This window comes from Homo sapiens, chromosome 9 (assembly GCF_000001405.40).
Source record: "Homo sapiens chromosome 9, GRCh38.p14 Primary Assembly".
NCBI classification, from domain to species: Eukaryota; Metazoa; Chordata; class Mammalia; order Primates; family Hominidae; genus Homo; species Homo sapiens.
In genome coordinates this window covers 112,332,190-112,352,547 of record NC_000009.12, presented here as the reverse complement: position 1 = coordinate 112,352,547, position 20,358 = coordinate 112,332,190, and the positions used below count along the sequence as shown (strand labels likewise).

The following is a 20,358-nucleotide window of genomic DNA, read 5'->3' as shown; positions in this document are numbered from 1 at the left end:
AAGGTAGGACTGAAGAAGAGAAGATGTATCTTGCATTTTTATTTATTTTCAGGACTCAGTTTGCTGACCCATGACTGAAAATTGGGAAGTGAAGGGAGGCTGAAGGGTTAACAGTGACCTGCAAGGCAGACCTGCAACCGTTGACCAAAGTAAACTGAGCAGAGTAAATAAGCACTAGAAGATTAAAATCCTATGACAGGCCAGACCTCCTGACACTCTCAAACTAAAAAAAAATTTAAAAAACTGTAAAACCTTAATTCCAGTAACAATGAGAACTCCTAGTACCTAGATTTTACTTTCAAATACTGTACTTTAATAAAAGGAACCAGGCAGGGTACAGTGGCACATCTGTGATCTCAGCACTTTGGGAAGTCCAGGTGGGAGTATTGCTTGAGCCCCAGGAGTTGGAGACCAGCCTGGGCAACATGGTGAGACCCTTTCTCTACAAAAAAATATTTAAAAACTAGCTGGGAGTGGTGGCAGCTGCCTGTAGTCCCAGCTACTCAGGAGGCTGAGACAAGAGGATCACTTGAGCCTTGGAGGTTGAGGCTGTGGGATAACAGAGTGAGACTCTGTCTTGGGGGAAAAAAAAAAAAGGAACTAGAGTTCCTTGAGAAATGGCTGATTCTAGGACTGAGGTAGTAAATGTACATGATGAGCCTGGAGCATCTTGTTGTGCCATAAAGTAAGAAAGTGCTCAAAAAACAAAACCAAAAAACCCCCACATTGATGAGGGGTATGTCAAAGGAGCACATAGGTCAACTGTAAGAGCTCCCAATGGCCAAAGCTGGAAAAATTTGGGCAACAAAATGAAATGATATTGAATTATAATCAAAGTATAAAATAAATAAATATTCATGAGTCCATACTGATATAATTAAATGATTGAACATATAAGTAAATGAGGGAGAATGACCAATCATCTGTACAGAAGAATTCTAAATAATTTATGTAAACACTGCTTACTCAAGGAAGTAGAGCATAGCTCCCCATTCCTTAAGTGTGGGCTGTGCATAATGACTTCTTTCCAAAGAGTACAATATGGAAAGGCAAGGAAAGATAACTTTAGAGTGAAGAAAATTGACAGACTACCTCAGTCAGATGATCAAGGTCAACATTAACCATCATGAGTCATGTTAACAATAGGACCCTTGATATGACGTCAATGGCACTTTATCTCTGTAGTCTTTCTCCCAAAAACATATAACCCTGGTCTAATCATGAGAAAAACAAGTTCCACTTGAAGGACATTCCATAAAATACTTGAGCAGTACGCCTTAAAACTGTGAAGGTCATCACAAACGAGGCAAGTGAGAAACTGTCACAGCCAAGAGGACATGATAGCTTAATGTAATATGGTATCTTGGAGGGGATCCTGGAACAGAAATATAATACTAGGTAAAAATGAATCCAATCTTAATAAAGTATGGACTTTAATTAATAACTAAATTAAGAATTACTTGGGCCAGGCACGGTGGCTCATGCCTGTAATCCCAGCACTTTGGGAGGCTGAGGCAGGTAGATCACTTGAGGTCAGGAGTTCTAGACCAGGCTGGCCAACATGGTACTAAAAATACAAAAATTAGCTGGGCGTGGTGGCGGGTGCCTGTAATCCCAACTACTCGGGAGGCTGGGGCAGGAGAATCACTTGAACCAAGGAGGCGGAGGTTGCAGTGAGCTGAGATTGTGCCACTGCACTCCAGCCTGGGCAACAGAGTGAGACTTCGTCTTAGGAAAAAAGAAAAAAAAGGAAAGAAGAATTATTTGAGTGCAACCTCATGAGAGACTCTGAGATATTTCTGAGCTTCTGACCTAAAGACAGTGTGAGATAATGTTTGTTGTTTATGCCAAAAGAGAGAGAGAGACAGAGTGTGAGAGAGAATTAACAACAACATATTAAGAAAAGAAGAGAAATTTCTTTTCTGGTTCTGGTTCATTTTTTATTTTCCTAGACTACCATCTTCCCCGGAAATTTTGTAACAATTAATGATTTTTATTAAAATATTTCCACTCTTCTCAACGACATATCAGTATTGGTTTATTAACAAATGTACTCTACTAATGTTAAGATGTTAATAGCAAAAATTGGGTACTGGGCGTGGAAGAATGCTCTGTACTATCACAATGTTTCCATAAATCTAAAATTGCTATAAAAAATAAAGTTTATTTTAAAAATTTTAAAATCTTTTTTCTTATTTACTTATTTTTGTACATGAATAAGTTCTTTAGTGGTGATTTGTGAGATTTTGAGGCACCCATTATCCGAGCAGTGTACACTGAACCCAATGTGTAGTCTTTTATCCCTCACCCCCATTCCACCCTTTACCCTCTGAGTCCCCAAAGTCCATTGTATCATTCTTATGCTTTTGCATCCTCATAGCTTAGCTCCCACTTATGAGTAAGAACATAGGATGTTTGGATTTCCACTCCTGAGTTATTTCACTTAGAATAATGGTCTTCAATTTAAAAATTTAAAAATCTTTAAATGGTACATAAATTTAAAAAAAAAACCATCTGAGGAAAACACACTCATATTCTCTACACTTTCATAAAACACAGACCACTTCTGTGACCAGATGTGTGGGGGTTTTTCCCCACAGACAAACAATTCTCCAACAGGCAATTTCCAACTGGGTGTCCTGTAATTCAACTGAATTCTTTTTTTTTTTTTTTTTTTTTTTTTTGAGACAGAGTCTCACTCTGTCACCCAGGCTGGAGTGCAGTGGCGCAATCTCGGTTCACCGCAACCTTCATCTCCCAGATTCAAGCGATTCTCGTGCCTCAGCCTGCCGAGTAGCTGGGATTACAGGCGCCCCGCCTGCCACCACACCTGACTAATTGTTGTATTTTTGGTAGAGACAGGGTTTCACCATGTTGGCCAGGCTGGTCCTGAACTCCTGACCTCAGGTGATCCACCCGCCTCAGCCACCCAAAGTGCTGGGATTACTAGTGTGAGCCACCGCGCCTGGTAAATTGCACACTATATGTAGAGATAGTGTCAAATTCCACAGGTTAAGGGTTCAAGTCCCATAACACAGCCCTGTTTGAGACACCGATCGCAAGTCCCCATGCTTCTGACCAACTGGTTATAATAATTGGGGGGTTCCTGTGATTCCCTCTTCAGGTTAGATAGTTTGCTGGAATGGCTCACAGAATTCAGGAAAACACTTTACTTACATTTACCAGTTTATTATACGAACACAACTCAGGAACACTCGGATGGAAGAGATGCATAGGGCAAGATATGAGGAGTGGTGGTACAGAACTTCCATACCCTCTCTGGGCATGCCAACCTCCCAGCGCCTCCATATGTCTAGCAACCCGGAAGCTCATCAAATCTGATTGTTCAAGAGTTTTTATAGAGCTTAATATCCAGCCCCCTCCTTTCCTACTGACACCATACTGAGGCTACCTAGAGGATCTACCCTAAATCACCCTATTAGCATAAACCCAGAGGTTATGAAAGAGACTCATGATAAATAACAAAAGACACTCCTCTCCTTCAGGAAATTCCCAGGGTTTTAGGAAGTCCGTGACAGGAACCAGGGACAAAGACTAAATATATTTCTTATACCACAACACCATTTTAAATGATTGAATGAATTTGGAAGAAAATAAGGGAAATCCCCTAAGGCAATATTCTCAACCCGTGAGTGGAGTTTGCTGCCCTGGAGATGTTTGCGAATGTCTGGAGACCTTTTTAGTTGTCACATCTGGGAGGGGGGGTGGTATTGTTAGCGGATCTGCAGCAACTTAATTCTTGCCTCCTCAGAAAAAAGGATTTGAAAGAAGGGCATAAGGCATAGGGAGAGACGGAGGCAAGTTTTAGAGCAGGAATGAAACGAAGTAAAGTACACTTGGAAGAGGGCCAAGCCGGGTACTTGAGAGATTCAGGTGTATGATTTGATCTTTGACTTGGGGTTTTATAACTTGTGATGCTTCCGGGCGGTTGCCTCCGCTCTCCCGATTCTTCCTTCGGAGTGGGCTGTGCGCATGCGCAGTGGCTTGCTAACACTTGGGAGGGGCCACATGCTCTGTGTGTTTACCGAACTTGTGCACATGCTCATCTGAGGCATTTTTTTCCCTTACCAGTTCATTGTTGGTAGAGAAAGGTCATCATATACCAGTTAAGCTCCGCCATTTTGTCTCTTAGTGCACATGCTCGAGGCCACTGGCCCAACTCCAGATATCTAATCGGGAAGCTGCTGATCACCAGTTTTAGGTGTTTTCTGTCTTTTGGGAAACTACCTTTTCCTGGCGCTGGCTGCGGCCAATTATCATTTTAGAGAAATAATTTACCAACTGCCTGACCATCTGATGGCCGCCCGACATTCCTTGGACGGGACACCGTCTCCTGCCCTGCTCATGCCTGCCTAACTACCTACTCTAACAGTACTAGCATCTAGTGAATAGAGTCTAAATATGCAATAATACACTGTCTACTAAACATCCAATAATTCACTGGGAAGTCCCTCCCCTCCATGACAAAGAATTAAAAATGTCAGTGGTGCTGAGGTTGAGAAACCCTATTCTGAGGCATGAGGTCTTGGAACCTACGTCAGTGCTGACAAAAATAGGCTAAATTTTGTGGATATGTGTGTGCATAATACTTGATACATTCAAAATATGTGTAATATATATAAATTATGAGGCAGAATAGTAAACACCTGTGAAACCAACAACCAGCTAAAGGACTAGAGATGATGAAATCCTGTGCTTCTCTTGATTCCATCTCCCTGCCTCCTCCCCTGAAGTAACCACTATGCTGAGTTTTGTATTAATCCCTTGTCATGTTTTATAAAATTGTGTGTCTATACATATGTATATGTATTTATGTATAGATACACATACACACACAATATATTGATGAGTTTTGCCTAGTTGTGCTTGATTATTAACATTATAAAAATGGTACAGTAGCTCACACCTGTAATCTCAGCACTTTGGGAGGCCAAGACAGGTGGATCACTTGAGCCCAAGAGTTCGAGACCAGCCTTGGCAACACGGCAGAACCCTGTTTCCACAAAAAAATACAAATATTAGCCAGGCGTGGTGGCACATGCCTGTAGTCCCAGCTACTGGGGAGGCTGAGGTGGGAGGATCATCTGAGCCCAGGGAGGTCAAGGCTGCAGTTAGCCATGATCATACCACTGCACTCCAGCCTGGGTGACAGAGTGAGACCCTGTCTCAAAAAAAAAAAAAAAAAGGTATCCCAGTACATATAGTTTTAATTCAATATTTTGTTTTGATTTCTATATATCATTGCCTATGGTATTTTATTCATTTTCACTGTGATATAGTATTCCATTGTGTGAATATGCCACAATTTATTTGCCCATTTCTCTTGTTGATAGGCTTTTAGGTTATTTATATATTGCAATAAAATAGATAAATTAGGTTATTTATATATAGCATTAGGCTATTTATATATTGCATTACAACCAGTGATGCTATGAATATTTTTTCATACATCTTCTGGTGCACAAGGTTATATACATCTGGTGCTCTAGGTTATATACATCTAGGATTATAATTGCTAAAGTGGCCTGTAATCCCAGCACTTTGGAAGGGTGAGGTGAGCAGATCACCTGAGGTCAGGAGTTCAAGACCAGCCTGGCCAACATGGCGAAACTCCATCTCTACTAAAAATACAAAAATTAACTGGGTGTGGTGGCACGCACCTGTAGTCCCAGCTACTCAGGAGGCTGAGGCAGGAGAATCACTTGAACCTGGGAGGCAAAGTGAGTTGAGAAAGCGCCACTGCGCTCCAGCCTGGGTGACAGATCAAGAGACTCTGTCTCAGGAAAAAACAAACATACAAGCAAAGAATTGCTAAAGTGTGTATGTCTCTAACCTTAAATTGAAATTGTGTTTAAGAACACCTTTTATATCCTAAAGTCATATAGTCTCCTAAACCATCTAAAACCTTAAAAGTTTTCCCTTTAATTTGTAAGTCATCTGGAGCTGCTCATTGTATATGGGTATGAGGTTGGTACCTGTATTTGGAATGAAGAAGAAAATAACTTCCATTTTTTTCCCCTAAATGCCTCCTGTGTCCTACATCAAGTTTTTATATTTGCCGGCCAGGTGTGGTGGCTCATGCCTGTAATCCCAGCACCTTGGGAGGCTGAGGCAGGTGGATCACCTGAGGTCAGGAGTTCGAGACTCACCTGGCCAACATGGAGAAATGCCACCTCTACTAAAAATACAAAAATTAGCTGGGCATGGTGGCACGCACCTTTGTCCCAGCTACTCGGGAGGCTGAGGCAGGAGAATCGCTTGAACCCAGGAGACAAAGGTTGCAGCAAGCTGAGATCACGCCACTGCACTCCGGCCTGGGCCACAGAGCAAGACTTCGTTTCAGAAAAAAGGAAAAAAAAGAAAAAAGAAAAGAAAGTTTTTATATTTGCCAAGATCTCCTCACGCCTGTAATCCCAGCACTTTGGGAGGCCAAAAAGGGTGGATTACCTGAGGTCAGGAGTTCAAGACCAGCCTGGCTAACATGGCGAAACCCCGTCTCAAAAATTAGCTGGGCATGATGGCGGGCACCTATACTCCCAGCTACTTGGGAGGCTGAGGCAGGGAGAATTGCTTGAACCTGGGAGGTGGAGGTTACAGTGAGCCGAGATCATGCCACTGTACTCCAGCCTGGGCAACAGAGCGAGACTCTGTCTCAAAAAGAAAAAAAAAAAGAAAATTTGTCTATTCCTATGGCAATACTACATTTTTTCTTGATTATTTGACTTCATGATATACAAATTTTAATATTAGATAGAGCTAGTCCCCACATTATTATTCTTTAAGACTGTCTGAGCTATTCTAGAAGTCATTTATTTTTAATTTTTATATTTAAATTTACTTTTTTTTGGCCAGGTGTTGTGGCTTACGCCTGTAATCCCAACATTCTGGGAGGCCAATGTGGGTGGATCGCTTGAGGTCTGGAGTTCAAAACCAGCCTGGCCAAATGGTAAAACCCCAACTCTACTGAAAAAAAAAATACAAAAATTAGCTGGGCATGGTGGTGTGCTCCTGCGGTCCCAGCTACTGAGGAGGCTGAGGCACAAGAATCACCTGAACCCAGGAGGTGGAGGCTGCAGTGAGCTGAGATCACTCCACTGCACTCCAGCCTGGGTGACAGAGTAAGACTCTGATCTCAAAAAAAAAAAATTTTTTTTCCTTTTTTTTTTTTTTTTTTTTTTTTTTTTTAGAGATGAGGGTCTTACTCTGTCTCTCAGGCTGAAGTACAATGGCACACAATCACAACTCGCTGTCACCTGGAACTCTTTGGGCTCAAGTAATCCTTCTGCCTCAGCCTCCCAAGGAGTAGCTGGTGGGACTACATGTGTGTGCCACCATGCTTAGCTCATTTAAGTTTACCATTTTAACCATTTTAAAGTATATAGCTCTGTGGCAGTGGTATTATTTTCATTATTATTATTATTTTTGCTGTGCAATGGTGTCATCTCGGCTCACCGCAACCTCCGCCTTCCCAGTTTAAGCAATTCTCCTGCCTCAGCCTCCCGAGTAGCTGGGACTACAGGTATGTGACACCACACCCGGCTAATTTTGTATTTTTAGTAGAGATGGGGGTTTCTCCATGTTGGTCATGCTGGTCTCGAACTCCCGACCTCAGGTGATCCACCCGCCTCGGCCTCCCAAAGTGTGGAATTACAGGTGTGAGCCACCGTGCCTGGCTAGCCATTTTTAAATAATATTATCTAATTGTTTTTGTGGTATATAGAAATGCAACTAATTTTCATATGTTAATCTTATACCCAGACTTCTTATTAAACTCTCTCATTAATTTTTTTCTTTTGCATTAATTTTAAAACTTTTGATATACTTTTGAATTTTCTACATAGATAATCATATCAGCTGCAAATAATGGCAACTTATTTTTCCTTTCCAATATTCATATTGTTTTAGCAGGTTTTCTGTTGCTATAACTGAATACCTGAGACTGGATAATTTATAAAGAAAAGAGATTTATTTAGCTTGCAGTTCTGGAGGCTGGGAAGTCAAAGACTGGACAGCTGCATCTGGTGGGGGCCTTGTGCTCCTTTATAGCATGGCAGAAAAGGGAAGGAATTATGTGGCAAGAGAGGAAGCAAAAGAGAGCCAAAGAAGCCCAATTTGCTTTATAACAACCTGTTCTTGTGATAACTAATGGATTCTTGAGTATTAATTGGCTACAACAAGAATGGCATTAATTCCCCCTAATGACCTAATCACCCCCTAACGGTCCCCATCTCCCAACACTGCCACAATGATAATCAAATTTCAACATGAGTTTCAGAGAGGACAAATACTATTTAAACTGTAGCATATATATTTTATTTCTGTTTCTTGTCTTACTGCACAAGAACTAAGGTATAATACTTAATAGAAGCTTAAACAAAAGGCCCAAAACATAAATAAAAAAAGATTGATAAATTTTACCTTTTAAAATTAAAATGAAAAGTTTTTGTTTATCAGAAGACACCATAAAGAAAAGCAAAAGAGAAGCAACATACTGGATGAAGAACTGTCTGCAAATATTGTCAGAAAAAAAAATGTGTGTGTGTAGCTCCTGCAAACCAATAAGTAAAGAATGTATAGTCAAATATGAAAAAAAATGGGTAAAATATATGAACAGGTACTTTACTGAAGGAGATTTATCAATGAATGGCCAATAACATGTGAAATGAAATTCAATTGCATTAATGAAATGAAATGAAAAATGAGGGCATGTAAGATTTTTTCTTTTTTTTTTTTTTTGAGATAGAGTCTTGCTCTGTTGCCCAGGCTGGGGTGCAATGGCCTGGTCTCAGCTCACTGCAAACTCCGCCTCCTGGGTTCAAGCGATTTTCCCTGCCTCAGCCTCCCAAGTAGCTGGGATTACAGGCGCCACCACCACACCCAGCTAATTTTTTGTATTTTTAGTAGAGACGGGGTTTCACCATGTTGGCCAGGCTGTTCTCAAACTCCTGGCCTCAGGTGATCTGCCCACCTCGGCCTCCCAAAATGCTGGGATTACAGGTGAGAGCCACCACGCCCAGCTGCATGTAAGATATTTTAAACTGACTGCTTGACAAAATTTTTAAAGTTGGATAATACCAGTTGAGGATATGAGCTAACGCTTGTAGTGGTAGTGAAAACTGGTAAAAAGCACTTTGAACTAAAAATACAAAAATTAGCCGGGTGTGGTGGCAGGCACCTGTAATCCCAGCTACTGGGGAGGCTGAGGCAGGAGAATCACTTGAACCCGGGAGGCAGAGGCTGCAGTGAGCTGAGATCACACCATTGCACTCCAGCCTGGGTGACGAGAGCGAAACTCAGTCTCAAAAAAAAAAAAATTGTTCAGAGTGTATCTGAATAACCACTGTCCAGATTCCCCTAATGTTAACATTTTGCGTGCAAGTAACTTTTTTACTTTCTGTCCTCAAAATGAGCCTCAAGATACTCTAGGCTCATCCTGCATTTTCCCCGATCCAGCCCTGGAACCAACAACTTCTCTGAGGAGTCTTGGTTCCTTTTTTATCAGCCAATGGTGTCTAGAAACTAAGATATGGGCAATGCTGGGCATGGTGGTGCACACCTGTAGTCCCAGCTACTCAGGAGACTGAAGTGGGAGAATTACTTGAGCATGGGAGTTTGAGTTCAGTCTGGGCAACATAGTGAGACTGCCCACCCCCGCCCCCACAAAAAAAGTTACTGTGATGTCATTGTTTGGTCCTTGATCCTCTCAATAGGTAGAACTTGTAAACAAAAGTATATATATCAGCCCATGCCTACACGTTTATTTTTAATCTCTCTTTCTTCTTCTTCTTCTTCTTCTTTGTTTTTCTTTCTTGAGACGGAGTCTCGCTCTGTCGCCCAGGCAGGAGTGCAATGGTGCAATCTCGGCTCACTGCAACCTCTGCCTCCTGGGTTCAAGTGATTCTTCTGCCTCTGCCTCCTGAGTAGCTGAGATTACAGGTGTGTGCCACCATGCTCGACTACTTTTTGTATATTTAGCAGAGATGGGTTTCACCATGTTGGCCAGGCTGGTCTCGAACTCCTGACCTCAAGTGATCCGCCCACTTCGGCCTCCCAAAGTGTTGGGATTACAGGCGTGAGCCACTGTGTCCAGTCTAACCTCTTATATTATATGTTATAGAGTATATTCAGGCTTCTGTGAAGACGACTGTATTAGTCAGTGTTCTCTAGAGAGACAGAACCAATGGGATACACACACACGCAGAGACATATGAGAGGAGACTTATGGAGGCCAAGTTCCATGATAGGCCATCGGCAAGCTGGAGAACCCAAGAAGCCAGTAATGCGGCTCTGTCTAAGTCCAAATCCAAAGGCCTGAGAAACTAGAAGGCTGCTGGTGCAAGTCCTGGAGTCCAAAGGCTGGAGAACTTGGAGTTCTTATGTCTAAGGGCAGGAAAAGAACAGTGTCCCAGCTCCAGAAGAGAGAAAACTTGCCTTTCCTCTGCCTTTTTTTTCTATCCAGGCCCTCAGCCAATTGGATGATGCCTGCCCACATTGGGTGAGGGCAGATCTTCCTCATTCAGTCCACTGATGCAAATGCCAATCTCTTCCAGAAACACCCTCACAGCACACCCAGAAATAATGCCTTACCAGCTATCTTGTTGTCTCTTAAAGCAGGCAAGTTGACACCTAAAATTAGCCATCACAGGGACCTAGTCATTCTAAAGGAATTCAGGGAAAACAAACCAAACCAAATGTGGATATTTAGCAGAACTATGTAAAGAATTTTGTGAAGTTTCTGAGAGAAAGCACACCTTACTTGATGGCTATCTACTTATTGGAGTCACTTCACAGTCACTTCCCACTTCACCATCCCCACCAAGTAATTGAAAGATGAAACAAGAATATAAACCATTGATATCTAGACCTACAAGTGACTTAAAAACAAAAACAAAAAAAATCAATAACGCACAGAAAAGCTGAGATGAGATTTGTGAGCCCTCAACTCACACTATTCTTTAGTAAGCTGCAGATCAAAGTAGTACTGCCATCATTCAAAACAAAAACAAAAACAACAACAACACACACACACACACCCAACGAAAAACAAAAACACTTTTCTTGCCGGATACAAACAAGGGAATAAAATTCTACCAGAGGCCAGGCATGGTGGCTCATGCCTGTAATCCCAGCACTTCAAGAGGCCGAGGCAGGCGGATCACTGGAAGTCAGGAGTTCGAGACTAGCCTGGCCAACATGGTGAAACACCATCTCTACTAAAAATACAAAAATTAGCCAGGCATGGTGGTGTGCACCTGTAATCCCAGCTACTCGGGAGGCTGAGGCAGGAGAATCACTTGAACCCAGGAGGTGGAGGTTGCAGTGGGCCGAGCTCACACCACTGCACTCTAGTCTGGGCGACTTGAGACAGACCCTGACTCAACAAACAAAACAAAACAAATTCTAGCAGAGATCTTGCCAAAAACAAAAACAAAAACAAAAAACCCCACAAGAAATCCAAACCAAAACAAAAACACCCAAATGAAGTAGAAGAATATAATATGTAAAAACATGAAAATTACACTTTTAAAGAGGAACAAAAACGGATAAGAAGAAAACATTAGACAAAATACTTCTTTATCCTCTTTGGATAATTAAATATGGAGTCCATGAAACAAGAGATTTTATTTTATTTTATTTATTTTTTTTTTTTGAGACAGAGTTTCGCTCTTGTTGCCCAAGCGGGAGTGCAATGGCGCGATCTCGGCTCACCGCAACCTCCGCCTCCCGGGTTCAAACAATTCTGCCTCAGCCTCCTGAGTAGCTGAGATTACAGGCGTGCACCACTACGCCCGGCTAATTTTGTGCTTTTAGTAGAGACGGGGTTTCTCCATGTTGAGGCTGGTCTCAAACTCCTGACCTCAGGTGATCCACCCGCCTCAGCCTCCCAAAGTGCTGGGATTACAGGCGTGAGCCACTGCACCCGGCCCTAAACAAGAGATTTTAAAACATAGATAAGACAATAACATGACATTTTAAAAAAGCTGGCAGAACAAATGAAAGAGAAGAGGAGAAAACAAAATTATTATGTTATTTAAAAACACGTTAAAATAGCAGGGAATCAAACTAATACTGCAGAAATCTGAACTATGATTGGAGAGAATAGACTTGAGAAAATCATATAAAATATTAAGAAAAAACAAACACAAGACATTAAAGAAAAATATGTAATAGAATGAAGATCTAATAAATAACGAATTGGTAATGCTGAGGAAGAATATAGGGCAAGTTTACCAGAAATACAAATTTAGTATTAATACAATAAACAGTTTCAGAAACAAAAGGAAGATTGTCTTTGCAAGGCACAAGCTGTTTCACATGTTCAATTAATAAAATATTGGCTGCCTATTATGTAGTAGGCATTGTTCTGGTTGCTAAGAACACACCAGCAAAAATTAGCCAGGTGTGGTGGTGGAACATGCCTACAGTTTCCGCTACTCAGGAGGCTTAGGTGGGAGGATCACCTGAGCCTGGAAGGTTGAGGCTGCAGTGAGCCACGATTGCACCACTACACTCCAGCCTGGGTGACAGAGCGATACCCTGTCTCAAGAAAATAAATAAATAAAAAATAAACATGTTTAAATAAATATGAATTTTTATAACATTTAGTGTCATGGTTATAATCCTGATAGAAATTTATATCATTTAAAAATTGGGCTGGGCAGGCAGGGCATGGTGTCTGACACCTGTAATCCCAGCACTTTGGGAGGCTGAGGCGGGCAGATCACCTGATAAGTTAGGAGTTGGAAACCAGCCTGGCCAACATGGCAAAATCCCATTTCTACCAAAAATACAAAAATTAGCTGGGTGTGGTGGGGTGTACCTGTAATCCCAGCTACTTGGGAGGCTGAGGCAGGAGAATCGCTTGAACCTGGGAGGTAGAGGTTGCAGTGAGCCGAGATCATTCCACTGCACAGCAACCTGGGTGACAGAGTGAGACTGTCTCAAAAGAAAAAAAAAAAAGAGTGAAAAGAAAAAAAATAAAAATGGCAAGTAAATAAAGGTAAAGAAAAAAAATAACAACAATCCAAGAGATTTACTTCTAAGTGGGGTCTGGGAGACTTCTAGGTTAAGAAATTCATCCTCAGGATAGAGAGTGGGGGACAACAGTTTTAAGGACAAAAAGAAGTCAATTTTAAAGGGCAATGATGATTCTTAGATCACTGTAGTGATTATCATTCAGATTTTCTTAGCCCCTTAGGATTCACGCCTGTATTTTTTTTTTTTTTTTTTTTTTTTGAGACAGAGTCTTGCTGTGTCAGGCAGACTGGAGTGCAGTGTCACGATCTCAGCTCACTGCAGCCTCAACTTCCTGGGCTCAGGTGATCCTCCCACCTCAGCCTCCTGAGTAGCTGGGCCTACAGGCATGAGCCACCACGCCTGGCTAATTTTTTATATTTTTAGTAGAGACGGCATTTCGCCCTTGCCTAAATCTTAAAGGATGATTTTCTGTGAATTTAAATAAAAAAGGCTGTTTCATTAAAAATTCTGGGAGACACTGGAACCTAGGTGATATAGTATGACAAAAAACAGGGAGAGGAATACTCCCCTTTTCAGAAAAGTGCTCCAGAAAGCCCAATGCAACTTTGGCATGGGCTGGCAAATTATACTATAGGACAGTGACAAGGGACAGCACCTTCAGCATAGACATGAGTCCTCTGTGCCAGGCACTGGCCATATTAAGAACTTCATGTGGAGATGATTACATCAGGGCCAGGCATGGGATGACAAAAATGGACGTGATTCATAGCTGCTGAGAAGTCAGTGAGCATGTAGGAGACACTTACATGCCGCCTCTTCAAATAGTTGGGAAGGACTTTGAAGAAAGGCTCATAATTCAACAGACTGGGCAGAGTCGGTCAGAGTCAGTGTGTGTCAGCTGTTACAACCTTATTTGACTACCAAGGTGATACAGCCTGAAAACTATAAATTATACTCACATGCCATTTTGCTTAAGCCTTTGATGTTTGTTATTGTTTAATTATTGAACAAATAACAACAAATATTAAGGGAACACTCAGCCAAGGTTTCTTTATTTTGAAATAATTGTAGATTCACAGGAAATTTAAAAAATAAGTACAAAGAGGTCCTGTGTACCCTTCAACCAGTTTCCCCCAATAGTAACATCTTAGTAACTGTATTACACTATTAAAAGCAGCACACAGACACAGTGCAATCCATAACTTCTCTTCAGATTTTGTCACTTTTTCATGCATGTGTTTATCTAAAGTTCTATGCAATTTTATCATGTGTAGATTTGTATAACCACCCCATAATCAAGACACAGAACTGTTTTATTACCACAAATATCCCCGTTCTTACTCCCTTGTAGTCACAGTTGTCTGTATCCTCTTCCATCTGCTCCCACCCTCTTCCTAATCCTTGGTAACCACTAATCTGTTCTCCATCTCTATAATTTTGTCATTTTGAGGATGTTATAGAAATGGAATCATACAGCATGTAACCTTTTGAGATTGGCTTTTTTCATTTAGTATAATTTCAGATGTTTCTGTTTTGGGAAATGCAATGTTAATTATGATGATTTTGTATTTGTCATGGGATAGAATGATATTAAAATGTCCAGCTTCCTAGATTCACCTAATAGCTGGTATTATTTCTGACTTATTTGGCATCTTTGTATTATTTTATATATTAAGAAGTCTTACCTGTAAACAGAAATAGGGTTATGTTGGTTAAATGTTAACTAACCACTGCCTACTGGAATGCCTTAAGGCAAGTGTTCAAAGGTTACATGTTGTCCAAAGATAATCGTGATGGGGGTGGTGTCTCTCATCAGAAAAAGGTGTGTCAGGGGAATTTCTTAGTCAAATCAGAACAAAAACACAAGAGAAAATGTTAGAAAAATTATAAACTAAATTATTTGTATCTGTCTTCCTTTTCAAAGCACAGAGCAATTAGCAAATAGAGAAAATGTAACTCTCTTCACTATCAAGAAGCCAGTATATAGAACCCATCAGTTTCAGGTCAAACCAGGTCATGTAGGTGATATCTGAGATATCTGATTCCAGAAACTTCTGTGGAGATGATAGAAAGCTGTGGCTCTTCCACATCATGTAGGCTATGGGAACAGTTAGGTTTCTCAAAGTGGTTCTTGAGGAGCTAAACTCTATGCTACCTACTATTTTTGAATCAAAGTGACTCACAAACCCATGGAGCTTAATCTATAAGTTCTTTGAATTGGCCAGGCACGGTGGCTCACGCCTGTAATCCCAGCACTTTGGGAGGTGGAGGCAAGCAGATCACTTGAGGCCAGGAGTTTGAGACCAGCCTGGCCAACACAGTGAAACCCCATCTCTATGAAAAATACAAAAATTGGCTAGGTGTGGTGGTGCACGCTTCTAATCCCAGCTACCAGGGAGGCTAAGGCAGGAGAATTGCTTGAACCTGGGAGGCAGAGGTTGCAGTGAGCTGAGATCGCGCTACTGCACTCCAGCCTGGGTGAGAGAGCAAGCCTCTGATTCCAAACAAACAAACAAACAAACAAAAAGTTCTTTGAATTTAGAACCAAGGGGCAGGGGAAAGAGTTAAGGCTTCACCTTTTTTGTTGTAAACTGTTTTCTGTTTTCTTATATCTAGGCTTCTGTTGTAAAGCTGGACATTGAGTATTTAGGAAATGCCAAACAGTTTTGTTAATTTCAGTCAGGTGCACTGTTTTTACATTGCAGACTTCTCGGAATTATTGTTAGTATGAACAATAAATTTCGGACACACTTTATATTTACCTTTATTTATTGAGATGGGGTCTTCCTGTATTATTTTTTAATATTGAAATTTGGAATAGCAAAGATAGGGGTCACGCTCTGCTATTTTTTAATATTAAAATTTGTTAGCTTAAAGCAAAGGGTAAGAGAGACATAACTTTAATAATTTATTTTTATTTTTATAAAAATATAGAGACAGGGTTTCACCATGTTGCCCAGGCTGGTCTCACACTGCTGAGCTCAAGCAATGCTGCCGCTTTGACCTCCCAAAGTGCTGTGATTTACAGGTGTGAGCCACCATGCCCAGCCAAATTTTTTTTTTTTTAAATAAAGAAACTGTAAATTGGTACAGCCTTTTTGGAATCATTTTCAAAAAATTTATCAAATTTGAATTATAAAGGCTATAAAGGCTTTATATAAAGGATTGTTGAATTATATAAAGGATATTAAGGCTTATGTCCTTTGTTTCTCAATTCTACTTCTAGGGATCTATTCCTCAGATGTAATAATATGTGTGCAAAGATACTCATACATTCATGATATTTTCTGCAATAGTGTTAGTTATTTTGAATACTTGGAAACAACGTAATTTCCACTGTTTTGGAAAAGGTTAAATTATGAAATGAAATTATGAGGCTGGGCATAGTGGTTCATGCCTATAATCCCAGCACTTTGGGAGGCCGAGGTGGGTGGATCACTTGAGGTCAGGAGTTCAAGAGCAGCCTGGCCAACATGGTGAAACTCTGTCTCTACTAAAAATACAAAAATTAGCCAGGCAGGGTGGCAGGTGCCTGTAATCCCAGCTACTCCAGAGGCTGAGGCAGGGGAATTGCTTGAGCCTGGGAGGCAGAGGTTGCAGTGAGCCGAGATTGTGCCACTGCACTCCAGCCTGGAGTCTCACTTTGTCACACAGGGTGGAGTGCAGTGGTGTGATCTCGGCTCACTGCAACCTCTGCTTACCGGGTTGAGATTCTCCTGTCTCAACCTCCTGAGTAGCTGGGATTACAGGCGTGCACCACCAAGCCAGACTAATTTTCCTATTTTTAGTAGAGATGGGGGGTTTCACCATGTTGGCCAGGCTGGCTTCGAACTCCTGACCTTAAGTGATCTGCCCGCCTCGGCCTCCCAAAGTGCTGGGATTACAGGTGTGAGCCACCATGCCCAGCTATAATCCAGGATTTTTAGGTGAAAAAAAAAAAAAAAAAAAAGAAAAATGGTAAAGGTCGCTGGGTGCGGTGGCTCACACCTGTAATCCCAGCACTTTGGGAGGCTGAGGTGGGTGGATCACAAGGTCAGGAGTTCGAGACCAGCCTGACCAACATGGTGAAACCCTGTCTCTACTAAAAACACAAAAACTAGCCAGGCGTGGTGGCGGGCGCCTGTAATCGCAGCTACTCAGGAGGCTGAGGCAGGAGAATCACTTGAACTCGGGAGGCAGAGGTTGCAGTGAGCTCAGATTGTGCCACTGCACTCCAGCCTGGGAGACAGAGCAAGACTCCGTCTCAAAACAAAAAAACAAAAAAACAAAAAAACAAACAACAAAAAAAAGTAAGGTCCAGAAGGATGCACGCAGAATTGTTACAGTGGTAGTCATGGGCAGGGGGTGGTTTGGGAAGAAAAATATTAATGATAACTTTTCAATATTTTATAGTGCTTGAATTTTCCAAAATGAGCATTTATGCTGATATTACTTGTGTAGCTAAAAAAAGGGTTAAGGAAATTTCATCAACAGAATATATCCCAAATACAGTGATAGAAAGACTGCATCAGCTACTTATCTTGTTGATATTCTACATTTCCATCTGGCAATGTTTACAAATGCAACTTAATATTTAGATTTAATATACAAAACAAAATGTATTTGACATTTTGGAAGGGGACTGAGGTTAGATACAGGACTTTAAGAATTACCTCACCGAATTACTCTACCTATTTGAAAAGTTGTATGTCAAAAATATACATAAACGGACTGAAGAATCCATTCAACAGTGACGGCTGGAACCTGATTTTCTTGTGTATTCATGCAGTGCCCGGCACATAGTAGGTTAATACTGACTGAATGATGAATGAGTCCACAGTTTAGATCTTTTTAGCAGCACCTACTGATCTGAAAGCAGGAAATTAGCAAGGATAGATGTTTGAGGTTCTTGTTAGTTGCTTTTCAAATGACGAAGCCACGGGGAGGAGCCCCGCTCTTTTTTACTCAGTAGGTTAAGAATTTGGCTTAACAGTTTAGGGGGTTACATTTTGGTGATCTGTGAGTTGAAAAAGTACTCAATTTCTCACTAAAAAGGGAAAAAAGCAAGCGTGTTGTCACTCGTTATATTATATATATACTTTTTGCTCAGACCAGAGGGAAGGGCTCTGGTGCAAACGTTTCCTGGTTGTGAAACTGTGAGCAAATCACTCTCTTTGTATATGTATTTTCATCTGAAAAAAGGGAATAATGAGTAAACTTTTAAAAAATGCTGGGAATATAGCCATTCCATGTTTGTACAATGAATTTTTCATATAAATTCAATACTAGACGGTTAGGTCGAAATGCACTCAGATACTTAAATTGTATACAAATTCCAGTCCGGGCAGCCTCTTTCACCTCATTCATCGTCCCAGCCACACCTATGGGGCTGGTGTCGGTCCCAGCGGTCGACTCCAGCGCCGGGCTGCCAGAGGCTGGTCCCTGGACGTGTCATCTACAGCCTCGCGCACCCGGGGCAATTCCACCTCGTTTCTGGGGTCCTTGTGGGACATTCCTTCCTACTCTTGGGAGTCAGGTCCCCATAGCTTTTCCTGCCGGCAGAGGGAGGCATTCAAACCTGGCAGGCCCGGTCTGCGAAGCCGGAAGGCCCGCGGGGCCGCGGGAGGGCGGGCGGGGTGCGCGGCGGAGCGGGAAGCACAAGGCGCGCGCTCCCGCGAACGCAGGAGGGAGGCTGGGGGCGCGCGCGCGCGCCGGGCCGAGGGGCCGAGAGGCGGGGTCTTACAGCGACCGCGGGAAGAGGGCGCCCCAGAGCTGAGCCGGAGGCCGGCTGCCAGCGGGGCGAGGGTGGGCGCGAGCGCAGGGGCGGGCCCCGAGGGAGGGCGGGGACGGTGAGGGGGCGGGGTCGGGCTAGGCGGGGACGCGCTCGCGGGGTGGGGAAGGCGGGGGCGCGGCGGTGGCGGGAGCGTGCCCGGTCCCCGCCCCTGTTCCCACTCTCCTTCCACCTCGGACCGGCCGGGGCTCCGCAGAGCCAAAGCTCGCTTGTCCCCGGAACCGCCCTGCTGCCGCCGCCTGCTTCCTCTGCTCGCGGTTAGCCCGTCAGTCCCTGCTCTGTGCGCGCCTCCATCTGGGCCATGGATGGGTAAGTACTAGGCGGCGCGGCGGCCGCACCGGGTTGCCTTGGCGCCGCTTCCACCCGGCTCTCCGCGGGACGCGTAAGGGCTGGGGAGCAGTGCGCGGCGCCGGCGGCCGGAGGAGCGGCCCCGGCCAAGCCCGACGGCGGGGCTTCCGGGCGTCTCGGTGGGGATCCCGGAATCGCGGAGTTGCCGTCCGCCGCAGGCTCTCCTTTCCCCACGCGGCGCCCCGGACACGTCCGCTGCTTCCTAGCCTTACTCGACACACCCGGGAGCAGAGGAAAGCCCGGTCCGGCCGCGGTGCCGAGGTCCGCCCTCCGCGCCCCGAGTCCGGGGAGCCCAGCTCGGCCTCCCGACACTTCCTCTCAGAAAATGGTGCGCGGCGCTGGGGGAGGCGGAGGCGGCGCGCGGGGCGGGCGTCCTCCTGCCGGGGGAGTTGCTGTTTACCGGCGAGGTGGGGCGAGCGGCCGACGGCGGGTGCACGCGTCGGTACACGTCTGGGCGGCGACCTGGTCGCAAGCCATGGTCCCACGCGGGGTCCCAGGGCCGCCGCGGGACTTGGCCGAGGTCTCCCGACTTGTGCTGTGAGATACGTTAACGCTTTCTCGACACCAGGGGTCTGGACTTAGTGACCATGGACGCTTCCCCCTCACCTTTCTCTCTCCCCAAGAAACTTAATGAATTATCTGCCCGTGTATGTAAAATATGATGTACGAGCGATTTTCGGGGGCATTTCAAATGCTCAAAAATTTAATGGGGGTCCGTGACCAAAATAAAAAGATTTAGAGTCTATGTATATAAACTGTTCTCTGGGGACTCAGGGATATGGGGTGGGACTTGACATATTTTGGTAATTAAAGTAACAACTATGTTAGGATTTTGGTGAATTAATTGAAGGTTGTAGTATCTGTACCTACGGATTAAAAAAAAATCTCCAACTCGGTTTATTCCCATTATGTATTTGAGGTTTTTTTTAGCTTGTTACCTACTTTTGATGACAAGATTTCTGTGAGGTTGTGGAATATATGCAACTTGCTAGAACAGTAAAAGTCGTTCACATGTTGCCATACAGTTGATGATATGCTATTTGAAGATGAAATCTTCCAACAGCTTTTGACCTCATTAGATTTCATTTATTTTAGTTTCACAATATTAAGTGTATATGACATTTCGGATTGATTCATTTGAATGCAGATTGCACACTGCTACAGACATCAAAGTGGAGTTTTAGATTTTATTCATGATTGTGATGTTCTTTATTTTTATTTGATTGAAGCTTCAAAAAATT

At 43.1% G+C, this 20,358-nt stretch overlaps 1 protein-coding gene across 18 annotated transcripts in view, besides 7 other annotated features; it reads left to right on the top strand.

Moving 5' to 3' along the window:
- Positions 1–20,358, top strand: part of PTBP3 (polypyrimidine tract binding protein 3) — a 162,168-nt gene that overhangs the window by 27,335 nt on the left and 114,475 nt on the right. For 6 of the 18 annotated variants that reach the window (NM_001244896.2, NM_001244897.2, NM_005156.7 and 3 more), the window contains exon 1: positions 18,929–19,078. The exons of 4 other annotated variants lie outside the window; for them this stretch is intronic. Coding sequence is in view for 9 of the 14 variants with exons in the window: in NM_005156.7 (NP_005147.3) it covers positions 19,071–19,078 (8 nt within the window). In the remaining 5 variants the exon portion in view is untranslated. Of the gene's footprint in view, positions 1–18,883; positions 19,079–19,521; positions 19,781–20,358 lie in introns of those variants that run through there. 8 more of the 18 variants (NM_001244898.1, XM_011519265.2, XM_047424268.1 and 5 more) reach the window with 4 other exon arrangements.
- Positions 14,513–15,012: an enhancer, noted in NCBI's record as "500 bp enhancer 25 fragment used in low-throughput reporter constructs". NCBI's record gives its function as "activates both an SV40 promoter and a TATA-containing promoter in HepG2 cells {active_cell/tissue: HepG2}" and the evidence as "EXISTENCE:reporter gene assay evidence [ECO:0000049][PMID:23512712]".
- Positions 14,690–14,834: an enhancer, noted in NCBI's record as "145 bp enhancer 25 fragment used in the MPRA reporter construct; PK_construct_1701". NCBI's record gives its function as "activates an SV40 promoter by MPRA in HepG2 cells {active_cell/tissue: HepG2}" and the evidence as "EXISTENCE:reporter gene assay evidence [ECO:0000049][PMID:23512712]".
- Positions 14,756–14,769: a transcriptional cis regulatory region, noted in NCBI's record as "HNF4 motif; enhancer activity is lost when this motif is scrambled". NCBI's record gives its function as "necessary for full MPRA enhancer 25 activity {active_cell/tissue: HepG2}" and the evidence as "EXISTENCE:site-directed mutagenesis evidence [ECO:0005528][PMID:23512712]".
- Positions 17,885–18,855: an enhancer, noted in NCBI's record as "H3K27ac hESC enhancer chr9:115095973-115096943 (GRCh37/hg19 assembly coordinates)". NCBI's record gives its function as "activates a minimal SCP1, AML or CMV promoter by ChIP-STARR-seq in naive H9 embryonic stem cells {active_cell/tissue: H9 hESC(naive)}" and the evidence as "EXISTENCE:reporter gene assay evidence [ECO:0000049][PMID:30033119]".
- Positions 17,885–18,924: a biological region, named in NCBI's record as "H3K27ac hESC enhancer GRCh37_chr9:115095973-115096943".
- Positions 18,605–18,924: a silencer, noted in NCBI's record as "silent region_20190". NCBI's record gives its function as "represses an Ori minimal core promoter by ATAC-STARR-seq in GM12878 lymphoblastoid cells {active_cell/tissue: GM12878}" and the evidence as "EXISTENCE:reporter gene assay evidence [ECO:0000049][PMID:35858748]".
- Positions 19,075–19,564: a silencer, noted in NCBI's record as "silent region_20189". NCBI's record gives its function as "represses an Ori minimal core promoter by ATAC-STARR-seq in GM12878 lymphoblastoid cells {active_cell/tissue: GM12878}" and the evidence as "EXISTENCE:reporter gene assay evidence [ECO:0000049][PMID:35858748]".